The 27,234-nt window shown below is 52.9% G+C and overlaps 1 protein-coding gene across 8 annotated transcripts in view, besides 4 other annotated features; it reads right to left on the bottom strand.

Annotated features, from left to right (window-relative positions):
• MAPKAPK3 (MAPK activated protein kinase 3) overlaps positions 1–27,234 on the bottom strand; it is a 37,772-nt gene that overhangs the window by 1,604 nt on the left and 8,934 nt on the right. For all 8 annotated transcript variants that reach the window (XM_047448883.1, XM_047448887.1, NM_001243926.2 and 5 more), the window contains 8 exons: positions 7,183–7,322; positions 5,917–5,981; positions 5,356–5,435; positions 3,156–3,279; positions 1,903–1,978; positions 1,424–1,548; positions 863–948; positions 485–565 (listed from right to left, as the gene is read on the bottom strand). In XM_047448883.1, the coding sequence (XP_047304839.1) occupies positions 485–565; positions 863–948; positions 1,424–1,548; positions 1,903–1,978; positions 3,156–3,279; positions 5,356–5,435; positions 5,917–5,981; positions 7,183–7,322 (777 nt within the window). The remainder of the gene's footprint in view (positions 1–484; positions 566–862; positions 949–1,423; positions 1,549–1,902; positions 1,979–3,155; positions 3,280–5,355; positions 5,436–5,916; positions 5,982–7,182; positions 7,323–27,234) is intronic.
• Positions 111–610: an enhancer, noted in NCBI's record as "H3K4me1 hESC enhancer chr3:50684509-50685008 (GRCh37/hg19 assembly coordinates)". NCBI's record gives its function as "activates a minimal SCP1, AML or CMV promoter by ChIP-STARR-seq in primed H9 embryonic stem cells {active_cell/tissue: H9 hESC(primed)}" and the evidence as "EXISTENCE:reporter gene assay evidence [ECO:0000049][PMID:30033119]".
• Positions 21,426–22,202: an enhancer, noted in NCBI's record as "H3K27ac-H3K4me1 hESC enhancer chr3:50662917-50663693 (GRCh37/hg19 assembly coordinates)". NCBI's record gives its function as "activates a minimal SCP1, AML or CMV promoter by ChIP-STARR-seq in naive and primed H9 embryonic stem cells {active_cell/tissue: H9 hESC(naive and primed)}" and the evidence as "EXISTENCE:reporter gene assay evidence [ECO:0000049][PMID:30033119]".
• Positions 23,494–23,593: a silencer, noted in NCBI's record as "silent region_14405". NCBI's record gives its function as "represses an Ori minimal core promoter by ATAC-STARR-seq in GM12878 lymphoblastoid cells {active_cell/tissue: GM12878}" and the evidence as "EXISTENCE:reporter gene assay evidence [ECO:0000049][PMID:35858748]".
• Positions 23,624–23,673: a silencer, noted in NCBI's record as "silent region_14404". NCBI's record gives its function as "represses an Ori minimal core promoter by ATAC-STARR-seq in GM12878 lymphoblastoid cells {active_cell/tissue: GM12878}" and the evidence as "EXISTENCE:reporter gene assay evidence [ECO:0000049][PMID:35858748]".

Below are 27,234 nucleotides of genomic sequence, written 5' to 3'. Positions count from 1 at the left end.
GGCACAAAAGGAGAGTTACTCCCTCGGACCACACCAAGGGTAAGTGGGATAGTGAACTAAACCAGTTCCACCACAGAACCACAAGACCTGCAGAGAATGCCATCTCGCTGGGCAACCAGCGCACTGGGGCCTGGAGATTGTGCCACTGGAGCTGCTACTCCATATGTTCAAACGTGGCCTCTGCTGGGTCTAAACCAGGCTGACCACCCTCCCAAATGTTGTTGGTTATAAGAGAGGTCATCATCCAAGCTTGGTACCAAAGCCCCGTTTCATTGAGGAAGTGAGCCAGGAGCACCACACTGAATGGCGTAGTGAGGCCCAATCCTTGGAGTGCCATGGTTGGACCACTGCGACAGTCACTGACACCCTGTGCTCCAGGTATAGAAAGGGGCCAAAGACCCCAGACCCTGGGTAGCCACCCCCCTGAAGTCCCTTTTGCCCAAATCCTGGCACCTGTATTGAGACTGAGGCAGAGCCCACCCACCTTGACTTCGTCCCAGTGGTCTTTGTCCTCCTGCAGCACTCGGGCCGTGTGGAGTGGGGTCTGTGGCACTACCATCGATTGCTGGAAGGAGCCCCACGCCCGTGGATTAGAAACTGGAGGCACCTGGGACAGCACTGGTTCCCCCTACTCCATCCTCTTCTCCCAGACTCAGATGGAAAAACCAAGGCTCAGGGTGGGGAAGGAGCCTCACTAGGGCAGTGACAAAGCCAGGTTGTAGGTGAGGCCCTAGTATCTACCTGTGTGCATGGGCCCATTCCAGCCCTGCACTGGGGCCTCAAAGCAGAGCCACCACCCTCCTGCCCGGCAGCCCCACTCCTGTTGGACACCCTGCCTGCCATGGGAGGAGGAGGGGCTCACGTTGATCCAGGGGTGGTTCATGAACTGAGTGATGGTCAGCCTCTCTGTGGGGTCTGTCTTCAACAGGAGGCGGATCAGCTGCTTGGCTAGGGGGGCCAGGGAAGAGAGGGGAGAGATGAGATTGCAGAGCCAGCCCCTCCACCCTTCCCCACAGACCACAAGCTCTGCTGGGGCAGGGGCTGCATGTGCTCCCAAATTCCCAACCCACAGAAAGAGTGAGCTAACAACTATTTCTTGTTTTGAAACACTAAGTGTTCAGGATAATTGGTTAAGCAGCAGTAGATAACTCATACAGGGCAGCCTTGTTTGTGGTCCTCAAAGGGGAAAATATGAATGAGGAATAGGAGTTAGAGGGAGTTTTGAGGAGGCAAGTTTTGAGCCTGTTTGGCAGATGTAGAAACTGAGGCTCAAGAAGGTTAGGGGACTTGCCTAGGGTCCCATAGCTGGAAAGAGGGGGAGCCAAGATTTGAACACAGGTCAGTTTGACACCAAAGTGATGTTTCCCAGAATGAAAGCCGCAGGGGCCAGGTGAGTCAGGCTGGGACAGAGAGGTTCACTCACCATCCTCAGAGACTTCTGACCACTCAGGATTGGGGAAGCCGTACTGGCCCAGGCGAATCCTCCTCTTCATCCCCGGGGAGATGGCCTGGCCCGTGTTGGAGTAGAAGGGTGGGAAGCCACAAAGGCTGGGGGAAGGGGTAAGTCATTTGGCATAGGGTGGGAGCAGTGCCAGGGTGGACCCATTTCCCCTCAAAAGCCCCTGACTGGGGAGACAGACAACCAGACACCATAGCAATAATACCAGCCCTCCGGACTCCCAGGCACATCCCAGGAATGCCATCAGCCCTTGGCATGGGGAGACCCTCAGGCACCTGAAGGAGTGGTGTCCCATGACCAAAAGGGAAGGGCAGCCTGCATGAGGAGTGACACACACAAGCTCCTCACCAAGGACATGGGGGTGGGGGGACAGAAGTGGTCCTGAGGGCTCACAGTGGGGGTAAGGGCAGGAGATGGAGGCAGGGGGTGGGGAAGGTACTCACAGGATGTACATGATGACACCCAGGGACCACATGTCACATGACTTGTCATACTTCTCTGGACCCAGGACCTCAGGGGCTGCCAGGGCAGAGGGACAGCAGGGCTCTCAGACCCAAGGGTCTTGGAGCCCAGGCAGGAGCCTAAAGCCTGGGCAAGGTGGGGAGCAGGTACCTGGGCTGGGAGGTAGGGCAGAGCAGACTGGCGTCTGGCACCTTTTGGAAAGGCAGCATGTGTGTGAAGTTGGGGGAGGAGAAAGCTCCTGGAAAAAAATCAACCACTTTCAGACATACCCCTAGCTCCCTTGGGCCTGAGCCCCTCTACCAGTCTCAACCTTGGTGAAAGAAGAGAAGAGAAGGCCAGTCTGGGGCTTGGTGGGAAGCTACCGTAGGTGAGAGGGTCTTGGCCTGCCAGCTGTCCTGTGTCCCTTGCCTCCCTGAATGCATAGCCTAGGTCACAGGCAAGGAAGAACCAGGGACAGGGCTCTGCATTCCATCATCAGCTTGGCTACCAATCCATGGAGCCTTTGTCTTCCCTGTGCAATGAGGTGGGTAGGCTAGAAGATTTCTAAGTTAAAATACTTAGTGCAAAACACATCCTAGTTAACAGAGTGCCATTTCAACTGTCTCAGGGAACTTCCCACCCCTTCAGCAGCCCTCCAGGAAGACCTCTTCTGAGGGAGAAAAGCCCTCTGTCATCACCCCACTCTCAGGTTAGGGGGCAGTTTTGGCAAGGAACATTTTCAGATCCGGGGGTTGCCCACTTGCAGAAGGGCAGTGAACTTTTCCAGGAAGCATGAGTATGTGCACACCTCCAAGCCCTGGCTTTAGTGACCGTCTCCCACAAGGCAGGTGACTGGTACCCTTTGTCCCTCCAAGTTAGGAGGAAATGCATGCCCACTTTCTGAATATGAATCCCAGGAAGACAAAAACTAGAGAAAAACAACCGCGGTTGGGCTCCGTCCCAAGCTGATGGCAGCCTTTTATCACATATATATTTAGAGCTGCTGTGATGTCATTCAGCTCACAGGCCACAGCCAGAATTTTCCTGGATCTATTTTCAAAAGCAGAAGCTGAAGTTTGGGAGAATATTTTTGCAGCCTCCGGCCCCCCACGTCACCCGCCTCCATGCAGACAGAATTCTCCCCCTCCCTCCTTGCTGGGCTTTAACCCTTTGGTTTCTGCAACCCACTGGCTACCCCATAATACAGCTGTATAAGTTGGGGTGAGGAGTTACAACTCATGTCCGAAGGACTCACCCACATAATAGGGAGTATAGCAGGGTGTCTGCAGGGCATTTTGGGTGGTCTCCTTAGCAAAGCCAAAATCGGTGAGCTTAAGCACTGCGTCTTTCTCCTTAGATGTGTAGAGTAGGTTTTCAGGCTGGGCCAGAAAGAGAAAACATTGGTTTGGAGTTAGGAACCAGGCAGGAGCAGAGCCCCAAGGTGATCTTCAGCCAGACTCCCCGACTCCATCCCAGTGCAGAAGGAGCCAGGTCCATTTATAAAAAGACCCGGGCCTTGCCCACTAACATGGGCCAAATATAGAGAAACCCAAGGTGCTACCTTCATTCACAAAAGGGGAAGCAAGGCAGGTGCTCAGCCAAGGCTGTGAATGACCAAGTGCCATAGAAAGCCTCGGAGCAGGAACTTCTGATCCTGAGTTGGTGACATTGCCATGAAATGCTAGAGCAAGGGTGCTGGGGGAAGGCAGGCTGCTCATAAGTCAGTATTGCCAAGCACATGTCCCATACCCAGCCCAGAGTGAATCCTACAGGGCTAGAAGGACAGCCCCATCTGAGGTTGCTCAGGGGAGAAGGCCCTGGTTGCTCAGACCCCAGACCCCAGGAGCTGCACAGGGGCAATCTTCCTGTGTCCCAGGAGTAGCCAGGGGCCTGGCAGATGAGGGCAGTAGGGAGGTCTGTCCCTGAAACTGGTTTTTAATGAATGGTAGGTAGGATGTAGGCCCATGGAGAGGGGCAGAAGAGACCCCCAAGCAGAGCCGGGGTAGAAGGATGGGGTGTTGGTAGAAGGATGGGGTGGTGGTTTAGAACCAATGGATGCTATTTCTCAGGTTCCATTTGAGAAGATCTGACCTTCTCAATTGTGATAAAAACAGAGAAGCAGTTTTAGTCTATTCAAGGGAATCTCCTCTGCAGAAGGCTTTTCTCTCTTCGGGAAAAAAAAGCCAGGGTCCAAATAAAGCAAGGATTTACAGGTTGGGGTGCTCAGCCAGAGGGAGGACCTTATGCAGCAGCTGTAACCTCAGCTCGCCTCTGCCCAGTCTGAGGAGGAAATAAGCCAAGGAAGGTAACGTTCTAGGCTTGGGGCAGAGGGCCCAGGAGGAGCAGACTCTGCTCTGATAGTGCTCACACATGCTTGTGTGCACATGCATGTGTGTGCTGCCTTGGTTTGCATTTCATCCATCTGATCCAGATGACCTCTAAGACCCAGTCCTCCCAGGATAGGAAATTTGGAGAGCTGAGCTTCCAGCCTCAAGACTGGAAGGTGGCCCAACAACTGGCACTACCTCTGTTCCTTCCTCCAGGGCTCAGCAAATGGCTTCTTTCCCTTAAAATGCTGGTATCAGGGGGCCTGATCTGTCAAAGCTATGGCTGTGACTTCACAAAAGCCGCAACAGGGCCAGGTGGAATGGCTCACGCCTGTAATCCCAGCACTTTTCGAGGCCGAGGCGGGCGGATTACCTAAGGTCAGGAGTTCAAGACCAACCTGCCTAACATGGTGAAACCCCATCTCTACGAAAAATACAAAAATTAGCCAGGTGTGGTGGTGTGCGCCTGTAGTCCCAGCTACTTGGGAGGCTGAGGCAGGAGAATCGCTTAAACCTGGGAGGCGGAAGCTGCAGTGAGCCGAGATTGCGCCACTGCACTCCAGCCTAGGTGACAGAGTGAGACTCTGTCTCAAAAAAACAGAACAAAATAAAACAAAACAAAAAAAACCAACAGCATCAGGCAGCCCCTGCCTGAGGCCTGGCACATTGCATCCACACAAAATTTCTTGCTGAACAAGTAAACAAATGAATGAATGAATCCCAGTGCAGCAACTACACAGCCCCTGGGCAAGTCACTTAATGTTTTTCTGAGCCTTGTTTTCCTCATCTGTAAAATGGGTAATGGCACTTATCTCACAAGGCTGGGTGAGAATGAAATGAGATTGCTTGTCAGGGCCCGCTGGCTTTAGGCAGGCAGTCAGTTATTCTTATTACTATTTGGATTACTCAGTGTTTGAAAGAAGCAAGGGGACCCACCTGGTGAGAACAGAATGAGTATGCTGAAACTAGAGAAGAGGCTGAGAAAAGCAGTCTGGGACACAGAGCAGAGGCTTTGAATGTGACTAGGGAACATGGCCTCCATCCAGTGGGTCCTGGATGCCATCAGGGATTGTGGAGTGGGACAATATCCTCTTCCCCGGGCCCCCAACCTGAATCCTGGAGCCTCACCTTGACATCTCGGTGGGCAATGTTATGGCTGTGCAGAAACTGGATGGCAGTGCCAATATCCCGCATTATCTCTGCAGCTTCTGCAGAAACAGAGGAGGAGGGGGTCAGTGATGCCAGTCAAAGGTCAAGCCCCCACCCTATCATCCCTCCTGGACACAGTCTAACAGGCCAGCACAAGACAAGAAGACAGTGACAGCACTCCTGCTATCCAGGTTCTCTATCCCGGGATGTCTACGCCACCCCAGACACCCCAGTTTCCTCCGAGGATACCCCCAACCCATCTAAACTTCTTTCCTCAGTCCTGAGCTACCTCTCCCCAGCTCAACTGCGAGACAGCATCAAGAGGCTTTGAGGCCTCCATCCCAAAGCCATAGAGAGTCCAAGTTCGACAAAGTGTCTCAGACTCAGAGAGTCCCTTGTGGGGATGGACACTGAGTCTCACCCTTTCTTATTCAGATGGGAAGACTGAGAGGAACAGGGTCTTGCCTAGCATCACACACAACGCTCTGGTCCATACCTCTCACCCTGAATCCTCCTGCTGGTCCAGCTACATGCACATACCTCTCTCAGTGAAAGCCTGGTCGCCACGCTCCTGAATCCTGCTGAACAACTCACCACCTTCCATGCTGTAAAAGAGGTGACTATAAGCAGAGAGGGGGAAACTGCACATCATCCTACCCTTGCCCCTGCCCCAAATCATAGGCCCAGGCTTCAGACCCTGCTGCTCCGCTCCTCCCCTACTGAACAGCCACTGTCAGCCTCCCTGTCCCTTGTAGAACCTGGTGCATGGTGGGTTGTCAGCTTAGGTGGGTTGAACTGAACTCTTGGAACTAGAAGAGGGTGGTGGGCTCTGATCCCTGCCAAGAAGCCTGTGTGTTCCCAGTGGCACGGCCCCTACCTGACTGTGAGGGCTTGGGTACTCCCAACCCCATTCAAGTCTCTGTTTCCCCAAATGTGGGATGAGATGTTAATTATCATCATATGACCACTGTTCTCTGGGCACCTACTGTGTGCCATGCCCTGGGATCCACGTTTCATGAGCGCTGTTGTGTGATCCTGGGCTGGTTCTTTCACCTCTCTGTGCCTCAGCTATCTCTTTTGTATAATAGGGATGACAGCACCAACCCCATAGTCATGCAGATTGAATATGCAATACACATGGGCCACTTAGAATGGAGTCAAGCACAGGGTAAATGCTACATTAAGATCTTTCCCACATCTTACATCTGAGTTACAGAGATTCAGAGAGGTTAAGAGCTGCCCACGGTCACATAGCTAGTGGGTAGCAGAGGCAGGATCTGAACCCCAAATCTGAAGAACTGGCTAACCGGTCCAAGGATGGCTGGTGCTGAGCCATGGTGTTACAGGAAGAAGCCCAGGGTGGAAAAGGCCACTGGCTCCTGGTTCTAGGCCCCAAGCACCCAGTTCCTGGTGGGACCATGGGAGCACATACCCAGGTCAAAAGGAGAGAAAGCTGAGGGAACTGCGTGGGTCCTGTTCTTCCCCAAATCCCCCATCCATCCATATTCAGGGATTGGGAGCCTTCTCTGACAGCTCTTCCAGTCCTCCTCACAGAGTAGAAATCACACTCAGGGAGGCCATATTAACCCCTGTGGTTTCTTGCCCACCCTTGAGGGAATGTCCTTATGGCCAACTCCATAGATCCACAGGCAGGGCCTGCGGCTGCCTGCTCCATTGCCCCTCAGGGGCTACAGTGGCACCCAGATCTGCTACCTGAAAAACAAAGAAAGCCCCTAGAAGCGTGGCAGGGAGCCTGAGGGCCACAGGGATGCCGAGGGGGTGTGGAGACAGGGCAGGCCAGCATACCATTCCATGATGATGAGGAGACAGCGCTTGCCATGGTGCATGTTCTCATACACATCCAGGATGCAGACAATATGGGGGCCGCCAGAAGCCTGCCAGTGATGGTCTACCTCCTGCCGGGCCTTGGGGCTGTCATACAGGAGCTGTAGGTGGGTGCACATAGAAAGTGTCAGGCTCAGAGCCCTCTACCATCATTTTGCAGACAAAAACATATAAGCTCTGAGGCCTGTGACCTGCCCCAGGTCACACAGCTTATAAGGAGCAGAATGAGAATTTGAATCTAGGTTTCTCTGACTTGTGGTCCAGTGAGCCTCTGGACTTGAGGGTCAGTCCTGGGCTCAAGCAGCTTGGCAGGTAGTTCAAGGAGTCCGTAGGAGGTGGCTGACTGCTTCGAGGGGCTCAGAGGCCAAAGAAGCCCTTGCTTCCCTTCTCAGATGGAAATTGAGTGGGTTTTATAACCCCACTCTAATCACACAGCAGCCATGGGACCCCAAGCCAGGGGCCACACATCCCTTGAGCCTCATTTTTACCATAAGGATGACACAGCTGTTCCATTTCCTAGGCTAGGGTTGGAAATTGTACATGTAAATTGTACAGGATAGCACCTGGTACATAGTAGGCCCTTGGTGCCTCCCTTGTGATTCTCACCCTGGGCATCTATGAGAAATGTAAGTGTAGAAGCAGAAGGTGCTGGGGAAAGGCTGGGGAGGGGAGAGGGTGCACTAACACGCAAATCTGCCCTACAGGACTCAGCATGATCAGGAGAGTGCTGGAGTGAGAAGGAAGACTTCCTGCAGGAGAGGTTGAGGCCTGTGTCTGTCAATCTATCTCCCACAAAGAAACTGGCCCAGAGTGGAGGGAGACAAGGCCACACTCCTGTAGGGGTAAAAGTAATTAAGACTTCAGATTCTCCAGGAGTGGGCATGAGAACAAAACTCTCACTACCAAGAAAAGTGCTTCTAAAATGAGTTGCTTGGTCATGACCACCCAGTCAGTACCCAGCTCCCAAGGTAACTTTATAGCCTTCCTGGGAGCTGCTATGCAGTACCAGGGCGACAATGTCATCGCACTGTGAGAGAGGTGGGGCCATCTCAAGGTGACCTAGCTGCCCAGCCTCCACCCTCATTCCATGCTTACAGATCACCGGTAAGGACCCAGAGGTAGAGACTGGGGGAAGGGAGGACCCTAGTTGAGGGAGATGACAGCTGAGTGGAGTGAGATGTGGGTTTGGGATTGAATTCCTCCAATGACTCGGTGTGACCTCAGGCATACATTCACAGCTCCAAGCTGCAGCCCACAACTCTGTAAAATGGTATAATAGCAGAGTCATCCCCACAGGGTGCATCCCAGCCAAGGCAAGCATCCAGTGGGCGGGCATCAGGATCCTTGCTCGGGTTAACTCAGCCCTGGACTGTGGCTGCCAACCAGCACCAGAAATGAACAAGGCCTCACAGTGGCCCTGCTGTAGGGGGAGAAGAAGAAGTCAGCATGCATGAGGAGATGGCCCAGAATGGGGACAGCAGGGACAAGCCACCCCCAAAAAGGGTTGCTCACTCAAGGACCATCTGTGACACTGTGTTTCCTAATGGAGGAGGGCTGGGGACCAGGGCTGATGCTCAAGACCGGGGCTCGGATCAGCACTGCTCAGCAGCCATAGGACCCTGGGCTGCCCCAGCCTTAATTTCCTCCTCTGCAGGATGGGGAGAGCCAGGCCACTTTACACAGGGCACTGTTAGGGGCAGGCTCTGTGACCATGCACGCTCTCTAGGTAAAGACAAACTGGGTCAGGGCAGTGTCCCAGAGAGGGGAGAGGCAGGCAGTGGTTTCTCGAGCCTGCTGCCCCTTGGCTGTCCCTCCTTTTCTGGAGCTGCTCCCCTCAACCCTAGCCTGGGAATACAGGCAGTGCAAGGAATACAGAGAGCCAGGGGCTGGACAAGCCCTCTAGCAGCTCTGTGCCCCTGCTCCATTACCCAGAGCAGGCTGGGGGTGTGCGTCAAGGCTGCTGTGGGCAGACACTCCTGCCTGGACACCATGGATCCTTGCTCATGCTGCCCTTGCCTTCCAGAACACCCCTCAGGTTAGTGCCCGCACAATTCCCAATCACCAGCTTCTTTCTCAGCACTGGGACCAGAAAGCTCAGTGCCCCCCACTTGCCTCCACCATGTCCTGTGGCGGCCCTAGCTAGGGGTACCCCAATCCTCAGCCACAGGAGCCAAGAGGTACCATCCTCCCTCCCTGCACCGGGTTCCTTCTTTGCCTCCTCCCCCTCCCCCTGCCTGGTTCTCTCCTCCCCAGTCTGACCTGACCATCTCCTGTCAGGCCTCCCAGGCTGGCTCCCACACTCCCTCCTCACTGCCTGCCTTGTGGCATCTCACTCCCACATCAGAGTCCTCCTCTTCTCTCTTAAAAGTCCAAGCTCACAGCTGGAATGCTTTCATTAGGGTCCTCAGCCCTGCCTCTCCCCTTATGACTCTAATCCACCTGTGGCCACAGACACTTCCTCACATCTTCCAGATAAATGTCCTCCCCCAGCACGCAGGGCTTGCCTTCCTTTCCCACCTCACTTCCTGCCACCTCTGGGCCAAAACCACTTTGTTCTGGCCAGAAAAATATATATGTTGTTCCCAAACAGGCCTTACTCCCCCAGGCCTCTGTGTCTAGGTCTGTGCTGGTCCCTGTCATGTGCATTCTTGCCTCATCCTCTCTGTTGGGTCAACTCCCTCTTTTTGGGGAAACTTCAGGGCTCAATTCAGATCGATCAATCTCTCTCTCTCTCTGTCTCCATCTCTCTCTCTCTCTCTCTCTCTCTCTCTCTTTCTCTCTCTGGAAAGTCCTCCCAGCACCTTTTTTTCTTTTTCTTTTCTTTTTTTTTTTTTTGAGACAGAGTCTTGCTCTGTCACCCAGGCTGGAGTGCAGTGGCACGATCTCGGCTCACTGCAAGCTCCGCCTCCCGGGTTCACGTCATTCTGCCTCAGCCTCCCGAGTAGCTGGGACTACAGGTGCCCGCCACCACGCCCAGCTATTTTTTGCATTTTTAGTGGAGATGGGGTTTCACCGTGTTAGCCAAGATGGTCTCGATCTCCTGACCTCGTGATCCACCCACCCAAAGTGCTGGGATTACAGGTGTGAGCCACCACGCCCGGCCCCTCCCAGCACCTTTCTTACTGGTTTTGCTTCTGTTCCTCCTACCACCCTGGGAGCAGCTTGAGGGCAGAGGCAGGTCAAGTTCACTTGGGGGTCCCTGGCTGGGGCCTGGCAGGAAACACTGGGCTTCCGAGCAAACAAAGGATGGGAGGATGGGCCCAGGACTGGAGGGAGATAGGAGGAGCCAGAGGGAAAGAAGGAGGGCGGTAGATGGCCAAGGAGGGGCTGGAGAGCCTTCCAGCCTGGGCCTGCATCCTGTGCTTTGCTGAGGTAGAGGAGCAGGTGGAGCTGCCCTGAGCTGGAGCCTCTCAAGGCTTCTGCCCCACTGAGTCCATATTTAGGAACCCATTTCCCACATGGATTAAAATAGTCCCTCTACAAACGCCAAAGCCCTGAAAATAGGCATAGGGACAGGGGAGAGGGCCGTCCCCGGAAAATATAATAAACGCCCCACTGGCCTCTCTGCAGAGTACATCACAGGAGCCAGAGCCCTCAGCCTGGGCCCAGGTCCAGCTGCCAAGAAATCCCCTGAGCTGTCTCTCCTGACCCCTTGAGTTGACCCTGAGCCCAAAACCTCCTAGAGCCTCAGTTTTCTCATCTTCCTTCCCCATAGCCAGAGCCTTCTCCTCCAGGCCTCCCCTCAATGTGGTCCACCTCAATGTCATCTCCTCTCAGAAGCCCTCCCTCTTCATCCTTTGTTTTTCTTTCTTTCAATATATGCTTTGTTTATTGAGGTATAATTGACATATAGTAAAATGCCCAGGTCTCAAGGGTCCAATTCAATGAGTTTTGATGATTGCACACACCCTTGGGACCCAAACTTCCATCAAGACAGAAAACATTCCTAGCTCCCCAGAAAGCTCTCACGTCATCGCCCTTTTCACTTCCTGTGCAGCACTTGCTCACAACATACAATTAGCTTGTTCCTTTGATAACTCTTTAAGCAAAAACACACATACAGATATTGTACTTTCAATGTGCCTGGCTCTGTTTGGAGTACTTTATAAACATTAGGAGGAAAGGACTTCATTATCACCACTTTTTGGATGAGAAATTGAGGCACAGAGAGGGGAAGTAACTGGCCCCAAATCACATGGCTGATCCCCCAGCCAGGCCAACACCAGCAGCCTCCCTCATCAGACTGTGGGCCCACAGGGCAGGGCCAGTCTGCCTGGCCACCTCTAGGTCCCAGTACTGGGATACGGGGCCTGACACAGAGCACTAACTCAGGTAATAGTTGTAGATTTTTTTTTTGAGACAGAATCTTGCTCTGTCACCCAGGCTGGAGTGCAGTGACACAGTCACAGCTCACTGCAGCCTTGATCTCCTGGGCTCAATGATTCTCCCACCTCAGCCTCCCAAGTAGCTGGGACCACAGGTGCATGCCACCACACCTGGCTAATTTTTTTTTTTTTTGGTTTTTTTTTTTTTTTTTTTTTTTTTTGGTAGAGACGGGGTTTTATCATGTTGCCCAGGCTGGTCTCGAAATCCTAGGCTCAAGTGATCCTCCTGCCTTGGCTTCTGAAGCACTGAGATTGTAGGCATGAGCCACTGTGCCTATCAATATTTGTAGATTTAATAAATCTATAGAGTAAGGATGAGGGGGAAAACCTCTCACAACCTATCATGAGGACAAGATAAGATTAAATTGGCCAGGCGTGGTGGCTGACGCCTGTAATCCCAGCATTTTGGGAGGCTGAGGCAGGTGTATCACGAGATCAGGAGTTTGAGACCAGCCTGACAAACATGGTGAAACCCCATCTCTACTAAAAATACAAAAATTAGTTAGTGTGGTGGTGTGCGTCTGTAACCCCAGCTACTCAGGAGGCTGAGGCAGAAGAATCACTTGAACCCAGGAGGCGGAGGTTGCAGTGAGCTGAGATCGTGCCACTGCACTACAGCCTAGATGACAGAATGAAACTCCATCTCAAAAAAAAAAAAAAAAAAAAAAAAAAAAAGATTAAATTGAGGAGGCCCCAGTGAGGCTCAACAAATGGGAGACATGACAACCTGGCAAACTTTCTCCCTGCTGCCCAAGGGCAGCCTGTACCTCACCTACCCTCTCTGTTGAACCAGGCTTTACCTCCTCTTCCAGGGAGCCCATCATGACTGCTCCATTCCACAAGGCATTTCTGCAAGTTGGCCTCCTTCACATAGGTACATGACTCCACACTATTCTTCACAAAAGATGTCCCAAAGTAAGAGCTCCATCTTCCCAGGCATGAGAATGAGCACAGGGCCAGGACACAGGAGGCCCAGGTTCTATGCCTATTCTCAGTATGACCTTAGGCCAGTCCCTTTTCCTCTCTGGGCCTCTGTTTCCCCAAAGTTAAGCTGTAGGGCTTGGGCTATATAGGGTGGGGGAGATAAGTGGGTAACAAGGCAGACTTCTAGACAGGCGTTCCTTGCAAAGTACCTACCATAGTACCACTCCCACATCATTGCCCCCATGGAGCAGCCTCTGGGTCCCCATGGCCTCCATATCCACATGCCTGAGCCCACTGGGGGCTACCTGAAATGGGCAATGATGTCATGGTTCCCAGTCACAGCTGGGAAGACAAGAAGATAGGAAGGGGCTAAGCACGGTGGCTTACGCCTGTAATCCTAACATTTTGGGAGACCGAGGCGGGAGGATCACCTGAGGTCAGGAGTTTGAGACCAACCTGGCCAACATGGTGAAACCCCATCTCTACTAAAAATACAAAAAAATTAGCTGGGTGTGGTGGTACGCACCTGTAATCCCAGCTACTTGGAAGGCTGAGGCAGGAGAATGGCTTGAACCCGGGAAGTGGAGGTTGCAGTGAGCCGAGATCGCATCATTGCACTCCAGCCTGGGCAAGAAAATAAGACTTTGCCTCAGAAAAAAAAAAAAAGAAGAAGAAGATAGGAGGGGATTTCTGACAACCCAACGGGCCCCCACCCTTGCCTCATTCCTCTCCTATGTTCCCTGAGCTCCCCAGGGGTCCACCAGAACTGGAGGGTCTGTGATGGCACTTGGGCAGCTCCACAGCTCCAGCTAGTGCCCAATAGGTACACACAGACACACATTCACACACACACACAGACGTACACATACACACACCCCTGTGAGGTGGAAACTGGGCTTCTTCCTGAGGAAGGGGATTCCTGGCCATGCACCTGAGGTGTGGGTCCCCACTGAAGCTCAACAAGCATTGAATTTGAGATGATGTTTCCTTTAGCGAGTGACCACAGGCCTCAGGCTCTGATATACTGGTTTTCACTTTCCCTTCTCCCCTCATCCTCCTTTGCCAAATTCTCTCTCTTGCCCCCAGAGCCAGCAGCCAGAAGGCCAAGACCCCTACTGACTTCACCAGCTAGTGAGCCCCAGCAAAATTTGAGAGCAGAAGGGCCCGTGCCCCTCTAGCATCACCAGGTGGAATGTGGGGGCCTCAAAACAGGCCAGGCCCCTCACTATCACCACTATATCCCTTTCCACCCAAGGACAGGGTTTACTTGTGGGTGGAGGAATTCTTGAGTTCCATAGCTGGGAAAACAACAGCACCATTTGCCTGTTTGGAAAACAATTTGCAGTTTACAAAACACTCTGCTGTCCCTTATCTCATGGGAATGCTTGGTGCCACCCTGTGAGGCAAGCAGGGTGGGAACCATTAGCCCCAATTTACAGATTGAGGAAACACGGGCTTGGGAGGATGAAGTCATTGCCCTGTGGCCACCTGGCTGCAGGATGGCAAGGCTGGAGGAGGAAGGAGAACAGGACTTTTGAGAGAGCACCCAGACAACCCCTCCCTGAGGGGAGATGAGAGGAGGGGGTGGCCCCAAGTTGGAGCAGCACTGGCCAAATCCACAGCTTGCACAAGACTCAGGAAGCTTGTTCTGAAATAAATGTGTACATCAGTGCGTGGGTGAGTGCATATGTAGGGGTATGAGGAGGGCATGTGGGTGTGTGTGTGTGCATGGGAACATGAATGTGTGCATGCATGCATACATCGTGTGTAGGGGTGTGTGCATGGGTGTGTGGGGAGTATGGGGGTGGGTGTGTGGGCCCGTGGGCATATGTGTGTCTCCAGTCTCTGCAATATTGACTTTGAACTCGCAGAGAACAGGATTTATCCATCTGTCCATTTGTTCATCTAATATTTTCTACTTCTCCAAAGTACCTAGCAGAGAACTGGCCACGGAGAGGTGCCCAAGAAACATTGGGGGGTCTTATTGCTACAACTCAACCTAAGACAGCCTGTGCAAGAAGGTGACCAAGCCCAGATGCCTCCATTCAGACCTCCTCTCCCACTGGTCACCATGGCAGGGCCTAACATTTCTTGTTGCCCAGAACTAGAAAATCACTCTGTCTGTCTTCTTAGAGATCGAACAAAGCTGGGATGTCTGCAGTGACTCTTGGGAACCAGTCCCCAACACCCTCCTCCAGCCACTTCCTCGCCCAGGAAGGGCCCCCTATCCAGGTCCACCCACCCACACATGGGTGTCCCCATCCAGCTCACCCCAGTGCTGGGCTCTTCTCAAGTTAAAGTGCCCACAGTATCTCCATCTCTCACATACAGGAAGCGCCGAGGCTACCAGCTTGGACAAGCAGTTTCCCCAACACCTCTTGCAGCCAAACCCCAACCTCCATACCCCTGGCCAATTAACCTGCAGCCCCGGCCAGGCTGTTGTATGGCCTCTGCCAGAACACCCACTGTTTCCGGGGTAAGAGAGCTGACTTATCTCTCCCATCAACGAGGCAGTAATAAATTAAGAAGCTGAAGCTCTGGATTTTGTGACAACTCACAGTATGAGAGACATCAGCCCTACAGCAAAGGGAACTTCCTCCTGGAGGCCAAGGATCTAGTTCCTCTCACCACCCCTTGAGGCCCTCCAAGCACCATTATTTCTGCAAGCCCTGCTTATTAACAACAGTATTTCAGACATTTTATAATTCTAAAACAAGACAGAAGCCAAACCAAACAAAAACAGCAGATTCTCTTTAGAATGAAGAAAAAGACAAAATGCACCAGAAACCCATGTAAGTTCATAACTATAAATGAGGACAAATTATAATTCTGAGCTTCCTGGAAGTCTTGCAAAGAAGGAAACCAGTTAGGCTCTGCTGCTTTTATTACCCCCATGAAGAGGAGCACAGATATTCACTGAACATTTTCTAGGACGAAATTCTAAAAGGGATTTCACATCAAACCTTATATAGGAGAAAACCTTCTGGCAACACCTTCAACAGCAATTCTGCAAAAGACACAGACTCAAATGAACATATCTAATATGGATTCCTCCATGAAGACTGAGGCCAGCACATATGCCTCAGCTATCGCCTGGCATGTGGGCCAGGAGTGCTGAGGTAACATCACCAGACCTTTATTTTCTTGGGATTCCAGCTTTGTTTTGTGCCAGAGGACAGATAGGAGAGGAGCAGCAGGGACCAGCATGGCCTCCAACACCTGTCCCACCTAAGGGTCTCATCCCAGCCTCAGGCAAAGGCAGGCCAGAATGCTGAAGATTAAATCTCAGTGCACGTGCTCAACACGAAATCTCAGGCAGCAAAACTGTAGAGAATGTTGTAGGGAAATTTAGGTTTCATTGTTGGGAACCCCTATTCTTACAGAGGCAGGCCGTGAATAAGACAAAACACTTTGAACCTACCATACTCCCTCCTTGACAAGTCTTCGACTCAGCCATCTCTAAGATCTCTCCCAGCTCCCAGTTGTATGATTATTTGGGATTATTTCCCATGAGGATCACATCTCAAATGATATAAGAGACACCACTGGAATAGCAGAATTTATTTTACAGCCAGTTGTTGAAACCCCTGCCAGTGCTGCTGGCACCTGTGTGGGCTATTAACACACACGGCCCTGCCAGCCAGTGTGACCCTTGTGAGCTGCTTTGCCCACTCAGAGAATGGGTCACAGCCTCAGCCTCTGCTCTGCAGGGAAGACGTCAGGATGGGATTGACCCTGAATTCAGAGTTCAGAAGCAGACTTTTCCTTCTTAAAGCTTCAGCATCTTCCTTATAATGCCAGAACCCCGCTCCTGCCCCCCATGTCCTCCCTCTCCCTCCCGACAAGGGCACTGGTGCTATTTGGAGAGCTGGAAGGTAGTGTAATATCTAACTTTTTAGCCACAGTTTCAAATCAGAGCTGCAGACATGTGCCATTATTCTCTCACAAACTCATTCTCCGAGCTTTCGTAGCTCATTAAAGGAGGTAATGGAACCAATTTTGCAGCTATGGATGAGTTGGCCTCCTGCCAGATGAGACCTCGCTTCATTAAGTTCCAACCACATCCTGTCCTCTGTCTCACCCTGTCCATTTACCTCTCCTCCTCAGAGGCTCGGTTCCAAGGAGGGCGGCTCACATGATACCACTGACCCCAAACGTCCAGGCCCCAGGTAGGTGCTGAGGGAATGATGGAGTCAGGTGGGATTAGCGCTCCCTACAGGACAACAGTCTGTCCCTGGTGCTGGGCCAGTACTGTGCAGAGGCCACCTCACACAGTGGTCACCATAACCCAACAAGGATCAGCAGCGCCCTTCTACCTGTGGGGAAATGTCCTTCTGGGAGGTTAAGTGACTTGCCCAAAGTCACACAGCTGGGCAGTGAGAGTCAAGACTGGGGACCATGTATAGCTGCTTCACCCCTTTTCCATGCAGCTTCAAGGCTTGGAGCAGGCACTCATCCCCACAACACCAGCCTGGGGAAAGCAAACAGAGAAGGCCCTGCCACTCCTTCCGAGAGCTTGGCCCACGCCCCTGGTCTGGACCAGGCCCTGCTACTCGGTGGCTGTTACAACAATGGCAGATGTTCACGGAGCCCCGCCCTGTACCAGGCATGTCATACCCATTAGCTCTTGCCCTTCAACAACTGCATTGTTAGCCACCATTTTCAGATGAGGAAACTGAGGGTCAGGGAGGCTTTGTGGATTCTCTGGGTCACGTGGTTTGCACATGGCCACCACTGAGTCAGAGTTCTTTGGGAACCAGGATTCAACTGTACAGGCCTGCCCATGTACAGATCCCCTCCCAACTCCTGCAAACATGTACTGGCCCTGTCTGGGGGCTAGACCTGGACTGGGACTGGGAATGCTGCCATGGGCACTCTGTCCTCAAGGATTTAGGGGTCTATGGATGAGTCACTGCCAACTGGGATGCTTGATGATGACATCTACACCTGGGAAACTGGTCCTGGCTCCTTCCCTTCCCTTCTCCTTTCTTTCCAGAACCAGAACCTGGCAGAACAGGCAAGATGGAGAAGGCCAGCCCCTTCTGAGGGAACTCACAAGAAAGGAGGACCCCTAAACAACCACTCCCCTTCTAGGCCAAGGCCAGGACACCTGATGGGGGGCAGGGTGGCAGCTTGACAGGCTGGGAACCTCCACCTGACCACTTCTCACCAGAGTTCTTGGGAGGGGAGGGAGTAGCTGAGGTTCCAAGCCTAGTGTCTTCCCAGGAAGCTCTGGGACAGGATAGCCAACACAAATTTTGAAATCATCAAGTCTTAGGAAGACAAGATTCCTCCAATTTACTAAATTTTGATGGCCTCAGTTGGTCTGCTTCCCACCAGCCCCAGACAACCTGGAAACAAAGGCTGAAATGCTAAGTCTGGGGGATGGGAAGAGTGGAGGGAAATGCTTCTAGAAAGAGGGACCTGAGCGAGGCTCCCAGGAAGGAAGAGGGAAGAACAGTGGGAACGTGAGTGCTAGAGGGTCCCAGTGCCCCAGACCAGGGACCATGCACAGCAGGACTAGCTGCAGCCACAGGGGTCCAGGTCTATTCCCAACTCCCCTGTGGCCTTGGGCAGGCCATTCAGCCTCTCTGAGCCTCACAGGCCCAATCTGGAAAGTGGGGATAGTGCTAATACTCCTGTTCCCAGGGAGCCACAAGGAGGGAATGAGAGCACACACAAAGAGCTCAGATGAACTTGGTGTCCAGTGCACACTGAAGGTATTGGGGGCCATGATGGTATGGGTGAAAACAGTTCCTGGGTTTGCTTGGGGACCCCTGGCTTTAGGATTCCCCTGGGTCTTCCTGAAATGGCCTTACACTCCTCCCCTCCTTGTTTCCCAGAATTCAGGGAAAGCTAGGTGCAGCCTTGGGGACCTGGGGGAGGCAGAACCTCTCCAATTCAGCAGGTCACAGGAAATGGTCTCATATCCTCAGAGGGGCACAGCCAGACTGGGCTCTTCAAAGGTGGACCAAGAACCTTGAGTCCACGAATCCTGTTTTGCTGTGAAAGGCTCAATAAGGAAGGGGAAGACCCTCCAGGGTGGAGAGAGGGTGGCTGATCTTAGGGGAGCGACCCTGGGGAATGGGAACCAAGACTGAAAGAACAGAAACCCACAACAGGGAACTCACCCAGCTCTCAAGCTTGGTCAACTATAGGAGGGGGCCCATCTTCACTTCTTTGTGGCAGCCCCCTACTCTCCCAGGTGGCAGACACCTTTACACCCCTCGACAACTCTGCGCATCCTTTTGAACAATGTCCCTCCTGCAAAATGTGTGACCATGGCCAGTCCTTTCACCTTCCCAAGCCCCAGCTTGCATCTGTGAACTGGGCACCCACTCTCCTCCCACATGGCTCCTGTGTTATAGCTGGGGAAAGAGGCCCTGAGACAGCTATGGCCTCCTCCCCTCCCCCAGAGGTTCTACAGTGAGAAAGTGGCAGGATCACAACTCCCTCTGCCCCTGACAGGTGTGGGATCCCAGGATTCTGCCCACAGCCTTCCCACAGAGGGCCGGGGGAGGCCACAGAGACCACCTGTGAGCCCCCTGAGTACATACTCAGAAGATCCAGGTTCTGGTATCTTCCTTTAACTTCAAAGAGGAAAAGGGGATTTTTCTATCAAAATCAGCTACATAATCTGTGAAACTTTACCCTGGTTTTATTTCTTCTATGACAGTGTAAAAATAGGACATTTTCATCATAAGACTGGAACATTTTAGCAAACACAAGTGTTTTGTTGTAATCTCAGAAATAATGTCCCATCAGTGGTCTCTCTTCATGAAGAGACCCCACAGCAGCAATGAAATATGTGCCCCCAACTGGCCAGTTGTGTGGCAGTGATGCCCACATAGCTGACACAGGGTAACAAAGGGCCATACCACCCTCCCTAGCAGGGGTGGCCAGGGCAAGTGAGGTCACGCCTAGGTGACCCCTGCTGAAGCACTCAGCAGGCCAGGCCTCTGGCCAGCTCTGGAGAGAGGGGACCCAAAACTCTCCAGCTTTCAGAAGAATGACAGCTGGTCTCTCTCGCCTGGAGGAGATGTCACAGTGATGACAAAGGAATCAGAAGTGGGCGTGGGGAGATACACTGGCTCACCCCCAGAGGCATGGCACAGAGGCCCTAGGGAACCTTCCATCCCCACCCCCAACACTGACCTTCTATCTCATATCTGCTCAGCATCTCTCCCTCATCCTTTGGCTTCATTCATGTCTCTGCAGCTCCCCACACAGGCCTGGGTGAGTACAGGCAGCCATCGCTCTCCTCAGGCTCCTCCCAGGGGTAGCAGGGGCACTAGCCATCCAGGCTTCCAGTCTCCCTTGGCCCCTGGCCCCTCTCCCCTCCTGCTCACGTTCAGCCAGAGGACTCCCAAGGCACCGACACCCAGCCTACTCCCAGAAGGCTTTCCTAGTCTCTGATCACACCATGGAGCCATAGCTATGAGGAAGAGGGGGAGGCCCTGCCCTCTAGGGGACCAGGGTGGTGGCCTGGCAGCTCTGAGGGACACTGCCTGTTCCTGCCACGAGACTAGGCGGCAGTGACTCACTCCCCCTCTCCTGGGCCTGCCTAGGGTAAGGACACACCCTGGTACTGGCTCAGCCTGACTCAAGCACTTAATTAGTCCATGAAGTACAGCGGAAGGGGTCTCCAAACCTGAGTCATAACCCTCAGAGCTCCTGACCCTGGCAGAATATAGCCCTTGCTGGTGGCATCACCATAGCCAAATGTTCCCCTGACAACACCATTTGCTGACTGGTGTGGGAGAGGCATCCTGGGGCACCCTCTGACCAGTCTCTATGCTGTCTGTCTACTTGCAAGATCAGCACCAGCAGTGGGCAAGGCAGGCCCCCACGACCTGCCTGCTTCCCTGGCACTGCCGATGATCATTGCCCACCTAACATGTCTTCACAGCCAAAAGGGAGGCCTTTGCCAAGCAGAGCACCCAGGCCCTCATTTTTTTTTTTTTTTTTTTTTTGAGATGGAGTTTTACTCTTGACTCCCAGGCTAGAGTGCAATGGCGCAATCTCAGCTCACTGCAACCTCCATTTCCCGGGTTCAAGTGATTCTCCTGCCTCAGCCTCTCAAGTAGCTGGTATTACAAGCATGTGCCACCTCACCCAGCTAATTTTTCTATTTTTAGTAGAGACGGGGTTTCACCACGCTGATCTCGAACTCCTGACTTCAGGTGATCCACCCGCGTCAGCCTCCCAAAGTGCTGGGATTACAGGCATGAGCCACTGCGCCCGGCCCAGGCTCTCATTTTGCTGATGAGCAGACTGTGGCTCCTGATCCCCAGAGGAGCACACACGCAGAGAGGAATGGCTGAGAGCCAGGCCTGGGTTCCAGCACAGGGCCATGTCCATACTACGTGACCCTGGGTGAGTTACTCTGCCTTTCTGAACCTGTCTCTGCATCCATGGCATGGGCGTGATAATCCATTCTGATTCTGCAGTGTTTGTGCCTGACATGTAGGAGGCACTCAGCAAGTGGGTGCCCTTATTGCCATCCCCCTGCCCCCTGTGCCACTGCCTGCCAGAAAGCACGGAGAACACCTGCCAGTCCTTCTACCACATCCTGAGAAGGGGGCTGTTAATGTTGGGTGAGCATCTGTGGATGAGCTATGGGTCTCTTGTGGAGGCTGAACCCTTAAGAATGGGGAAATGAGTGTGGCAGCTCAAGGTCCTGGTCCCTCAGGCCCCTGAATGTAGCCTCTGAGCCTTAGCAGGGCAAGGGTGGTCAGGTGCAGGGTGCCAGCTAGAGAGTCTTGAGTGTTCACACCAGCTAGTGCAGGTGCAGCTCACACTCAGCTCTGCCCTCTGTAAAAATGGCGGTAGGTTGCACCTCATACCTTGAGCCCTCCCAGACTCCCACCAGCTCCTCTGGCTGGCTCTAAGGCTCTGACTCAGGTCAGATCTCAGCCCTGTCTATACCTCACTGTGGCTAGGGAACCCTTGGGGGTCGTACTGTGCCTAGTCCCACACAATTGTCCCAAGCAAAAGTCTCAGACCATTGGGCCGTAAAAGGAGACCCAACAGCAGAGACTGCAGCTGAAGTTGACTTCACACAAGCCATGGGGGGGTGGCGGGGGACCTCCTCAGGTTACAGCTCAGCCCAAGAACTCCTGAGTCCACTGTTCTGACTGCCAAGGCTGCTGACACCTGGTCAAGGCGGGCAGCAGGAGGGGACACTGTGAGTGGCATGGGTACAGCACTCACTCCTCCTTCCTTCCCCACCCCCACCCTCCCCTGGGGTGGGGGTGGGGGAGTGAGCTGCCCGCTGACCAGGATGAGTCCTTAGCACCTGACCTGGCCCTGCTCTGTCCTCCGCCTGCCCTCAGCCTGCCAGGCTGCAGAAAAGAGGCCATGAGGCCTGAAACACACGAGACAGGCAAACTGGCAAGGCCCGGGAGAGCGGGGACAGAGCGATAGCAGGAGAAACAGGTGGAAAAGGAGAAATGAGAGGGACGAGGAGGCAGAGGACAGAAAGATCGCTAGTGCCATGAGGAGAAGGCAGCAAAGACAAAGCCCTAGTCTAAAGAAAAAGGCAACCCTAATCCCAAACCCGCCTCAAAAACAAAAGCAATCTTTTCAGCATCTCTGGCCTGTCTAGTGCTGAAAGGGCCTCCTGAGGCTCCTTGTTCCCCAAACGGGAGCCTCGTGTTCCTGCTCTAAGCCAAACCTCCACGGTTCCCACACAGCAGGATTTTAATCACAATTGCACAGGGCCTAATCCACTTAGTTCCAAACGGGCAGGAGGGTGGGGAGGAGCCCAGGACCCAGAGCTCCCTTCACGCCATTCTTTCCTGTCCCTCAAGGGGCTGGGTTCCCCAGGTGCAGGGCGCACCCAAGTGAGTCCTCATAAAAACCAATAATGTTTCACCAGCAAATGCACCCAGGCCACCCCAAATGAGAGCCCTGCCTTCTGAGTGTCTGCCGGCCTATGTTGTCTCATAGCATGAATGCAGGGATAGTAACAGTCACCGAGACTGGATCCTACTCCCCACCACATATTCAAACCCAGGGTTCAACTGCACCACAAAGATGATGGTTTTGCAAAAGATTATGAAACTGCCTTTAGTCCAAAGTCACTTGGGGAGAATGTCACAGAAAGCATTTTAAGCCGAGAGCACTGTTCCTCTCTCAACCCCAAGATGGGGCCTTTCATCTGGGACCACACAAGATGTCCAATAGATGGAGGGAGAGCAGTAGAACTAATGTTCTCCAGGGAAAACACCAGTGCTCACAGGAGCCATGGTCTCACTGTCCTGAGAGCAGCAGAGCCAGCTCTCCAGGAAGCGCTTTGTGCACACTCTCATGGCACAGGTATGCTTGGAATGCCTCTCACCTAGGGATGTCCTCAGCTCTTGCCCATGGGCCTTCACCATTAGACATGGCAGCCTGGAGCCAAGGGAGGTTGCGGGCTTACAGAGCCAGATGTTCCAACTACTGCCTCCACCCAGAGATCTTCCATGATGATGTCCCCAGCAGAGGAAAATGAGGGATCTAACTCCACTTCCCCAGGTGTGAAGCTCAGAAGAGATACAACAGACCTCTGTTGTAATGAAAACTGAGTCCTTCCCATATAGTCTGAACAACAGCCCAAGTGACCCAGGAGTCCCTGCAGCACCCTCAGCAATGGTGCTCTACCCTTCAAGGCCCTACACAAACGCCTCTTCCTCCACAGATTCCTCTGGTCCTCCCTCAGCTTCCCAGTCTTTGTCAGGACTTTGACACCGGCCCTGCTGAGGTCAACCACATCCTGCCAGAACACAGGTCTGCGAGTGGGAAACTGGTACTCCACAGCAGGTGCTGAATGTCTAAACCAGGCATATTGTCACACACATGCACACACACATACACATACACACACACACACACACACGTGAGTGCACACACACACAGGCACACACATACACCCTGTGCCTTCCTCTGTCATCCACATCCTTCTCAAACCAGAGGTCTGAATTAAACTGGCAACCTCTTCCAGGAAGCCTCTCCTAGCTGGCCCAGCCCAGATACAGTTTCCACTCGCCCACTCACCAGTCTGATTTCCTGCCCGTGGTGCTCTGGGCTCTGCCCAGCTGCACTTGTCTGAGACTCACAAGGCCTGGGAAAAGGCACACGACCTTTCTGAGGTGGCCTTCACAGTCATCATGGTCCTTGTGTGCTGGCCTCATGGGACTGCCACCTGTCCAATCACTGGCACAGAGTTCCATACAGTGAGGAGGACTGAGCAGATGTAGGTAGACACTGGCAGCATCACTCAGGGCCCAGCTGGGGCTGCCAGGGCTCCCAGTGGAGCCAGAGAGGACAATGCCAGCATCTTTCCAAGGACCAAGTCTCAGAGACCCTCCCGTGTCCCCACAGACTTGCATGAGGAGTGAGATGACTTAGATGCTAGGACTCTGGCATCAAACTGCCTAGGCTCACAGCTCAGCCCTGCTACCCACTAGTTGAGCACTTTGGGCAAGCTGCTGACCTCTGAACCTCATCCATATAATGGGAGTGATAAGAGTTAGGTAAGACAACTCATTCTGTGCCTTGTTGTGCACTGTGGACAGGGCCCGCTGGGCAGAATGCTCTGAAAAACTGTTAGCCGTTTATGGGGGTATCAGAATCCACAGCACCAAGGCCTGAATCCTGGAGAGCTGGCATCAGTTCCTAGATGGGATGGGAAAAGATCCTAGAAGCCCCAGCAGAGGTGATCCTGAGAGTAGGCTGGGAGCACAGCTTCGAAAACAGTAAGCAAGGCCAGCCAGGCACGGTACGAACCATCTCAGAACAATCAACCTCTGCCTAAAATTCCACTATTTGCATTTTGTAGGGTTTGATGCCCTCCCCAGGATCTTCATGAAAAAGCAAATTGCTCATCCCTGGCAGTTAACACTCTGGCTCCTCAGATTCTTTCCTTCTAGGTAAGGAGCAGCGTTGGGAGAACCCAGGGGGCAGTGAAACTATTTCCAGGGACTCTATTGTACCGGCTGCATAGTCCCTCCATGTGCCTCCTGATTTGTTGACTCTAACAAGTGGCCCTGCAGAGGCTGATCTGACCGGTCTGGAGATGGTAGGTGAGGGGATGATGGCTGCCAAATGAAAAAGGGCCTGGCCTGCCTGGCAGCTTCACCTGGCTTCAAATCCAGCTCAACAGTACCAGCCCCAACAGGCCAGCCTCACCCTTGGAGCAGTGGGCACCATCCCCCCAGGGAGAGTGAGGCATCCAGGGTACTGGGCTCTGGATCCATTGCTTCCCAGTCTCTGCATCCATCATGTTCTATCTTCCTTTTGGCATTCTGGTTATACAGAGCCCCTCTGTCTACTCAGAGGTGCAGCCTGGACAGCAGGCAGGGAGCAGAAATGGCCTCATGAATGGGCATTTCCTTTCTCCCAGGAATTCTCCATGAGGTCTATTGAGGCAGTGGAACTGTTAGATTCCATTGTGAATTCCCAGATCTTAGGAGAGTAGAAATAGCATTTCTCTGTGGCTTATCTCTGAGCTGTAATCAAAGAACCCCTCTCCTGTGGAGAAGGTGCAACCTGGAAAAAGTCCAGCTCCTGATGCTCCTTCCAAAGCTCAGAGGGGCCAGAGCCTGGTCATTTTCATAAGCATTCATGAATCTCTGATATATGCCAGGCCTTGGGCCTAGGTGCTATAAAAGAGCTTTGAATCAAAGGGGAGTATTATCAAAGGGGTCAAAGAAGGTTCCATTGCCCCAAAGCCAGGAACTCTGGGCAGCTTCCTGGAAGAGGTGGCACTGGGGCTGAGTCTTGACAGATGAGAAGAAATTCTTCAGTGCTGGAGAAGGAAAGATGTCACCTAAAGTAGAAAAGGGAGGTGGGCTGGACTGCAGAGACTTTGAATGCCACAGTTAGAGGCTCAGAACATACACAGCCAAGTCCCAGCATCCCTGTGTAATCTCAAATCCCTGTGAGATCTCCTCCTGGTCTCCAGAGCTTAGTTTCCCATCTGTCAGGAGAAATATGCCCTCTTCTGTGTTGTGCTTTGAGGCATCACTGAGATCCCACATGCAGAGCAGCCTGGCTCACGGAAGCCAACTGGCATCAAGGGGAAGGAAACTGTCCCAGAGGCAGCAGCCCCAGCAACCTCCCCAGATCCTGGGAACCAGAAGGAAGATGGCTGCTACAAAGACTTGACCCAGAGGACTCTGCAGAGGTCTCCTGGACATGTGGATCCACCACCCCACCACTCTACTCTCCTTAACAAAGAAGGGAAGAAGAGGGCACTGGGAGCCTAGAAGAGCCTCCAAAATGCTTTAGGGGTCAGAGGGGAAGAGCCCCCAGCCCCACAGTCCATAACACAGGGGCAGGAAAGAAGACCCCACCATTATGTCTCCATAAGGCCTTTTATTGCTTTTCTTTCTTTCAATTTTTGAGATGGGTCTCACTCTGTCACCCAGGCTGGAGTACAGTGGCATGACCACAGCTCACTGCAGCCTCAAACCCCTAGGCTCGAGCAATCATCTTTCCACCTCAGCCTCTTGAGTAGCTGGAACTACAGGTGTGTGCCACCACACCTGGCTACTTTTTTTTTTTTTTTTTTTTTTTGAGACACAGCCTCACTCTGTCACCCAGGCTGGAGTGCAGTGGCGTGATCTCGGCTCACTGCAACCTCCGCCTCCCAGGTTCAAGCGATTCTCCTGCCTCAGTCTCCCCAGTAGCTGGGATTACAGGCGCCCGCCACTGTGTCCAGCAAATTTTTGTATTTTTATTTTTAGTAGAGACAAGGTTTTGCCAGGTTGGCCAGGTTGGTCTCGAGCTCCAGACTTCAAGTGATCCTCCCGCCTCAGCCAAAGTGCTGGAATTACAGGCATAAGTCATCATACCCAGCCCTAATTTTTAAATTTTGTGTAGAGATAAGGGTCTTACCATGTTGCCAAGACTGGTCTTAAACTCCTGGACTCAAATGATCCTCCTGCCTCAGCCTCCCAAAGTGCTGGGATTACAGGCACAAGCCACCGCACCCAGCCTATTGCTTTTATTTAGAGATACTAAGTGCCATGGTCACTTCTGCCTGCCAAGAGGCCAAAAACCACAAGAGGGCTGGGCAGGATGTCAGGAGGGGAGAAAATTCGGGCCTCTGCTACACCCCCCACTTCAAACCGTGTGACTCACTTTGGGTCCCAATTTTCATGTATGTGATAAAGTTTGAAGGACTGGATCTTGGATGTGGTGGGGTAACTGATGTGTGACAAATCTGCAGGGCTGTGCCCAGTTAGAGGGAAAGCTGAAGGTACTAATTAACTAGTTAAGCCTGGGAGAGGGCACAAGCAAGAGGTCAGCAGGAGAAGCAGACACTGGAGGACCGCCTGGCCCATACACCCTCTCCAAGAAAGGCAGTCCTCCAGTTCCTGCCAAGAGGACAGCAATGAGGGCTTGGGGTACAATGGAGTAGAATGGCTGCACTGGCAGCAGAAGGTAGCCTTGGGAGGGAGCCACTGAGTATGACTGAGGCCAAGATGAACCAAGCAGGTGGTCAGGGGCTAAGGGAAAGCGGAAGAGGCCCAGCTCCCTGGGAGGGAGGGACCTGCTCCTCTAGGGCCTCCACAGAATAGCAACAGTTACAAGGACAGTGGCCACAGCTCTTCCTGTTTTATGAGTGTTTGCTGAGTTTCAGGCTTCCTGTTAAGCACTATCTTCCATCTTGGGCAACAGAGCCAAGAGGATGAGCATGAGACAAATGGGCAGAGAT

The sequence above is a fragment of the Homo sapiens genome, chromosome 3, assembly GCF_000001405.40.
Source record: "Homo sapiens chromosome 3, GRCh38.p14 Primary Assembly".
Classification (NCBI taxonomy): Eukaryota; Metazoa; Chordata; class Mammalia; order Primates; family Hominidae; genus Homo; species Homo sapiens.
This window is presented reverse-complemented; position numbering and strand designations above follow the sequence as displayed.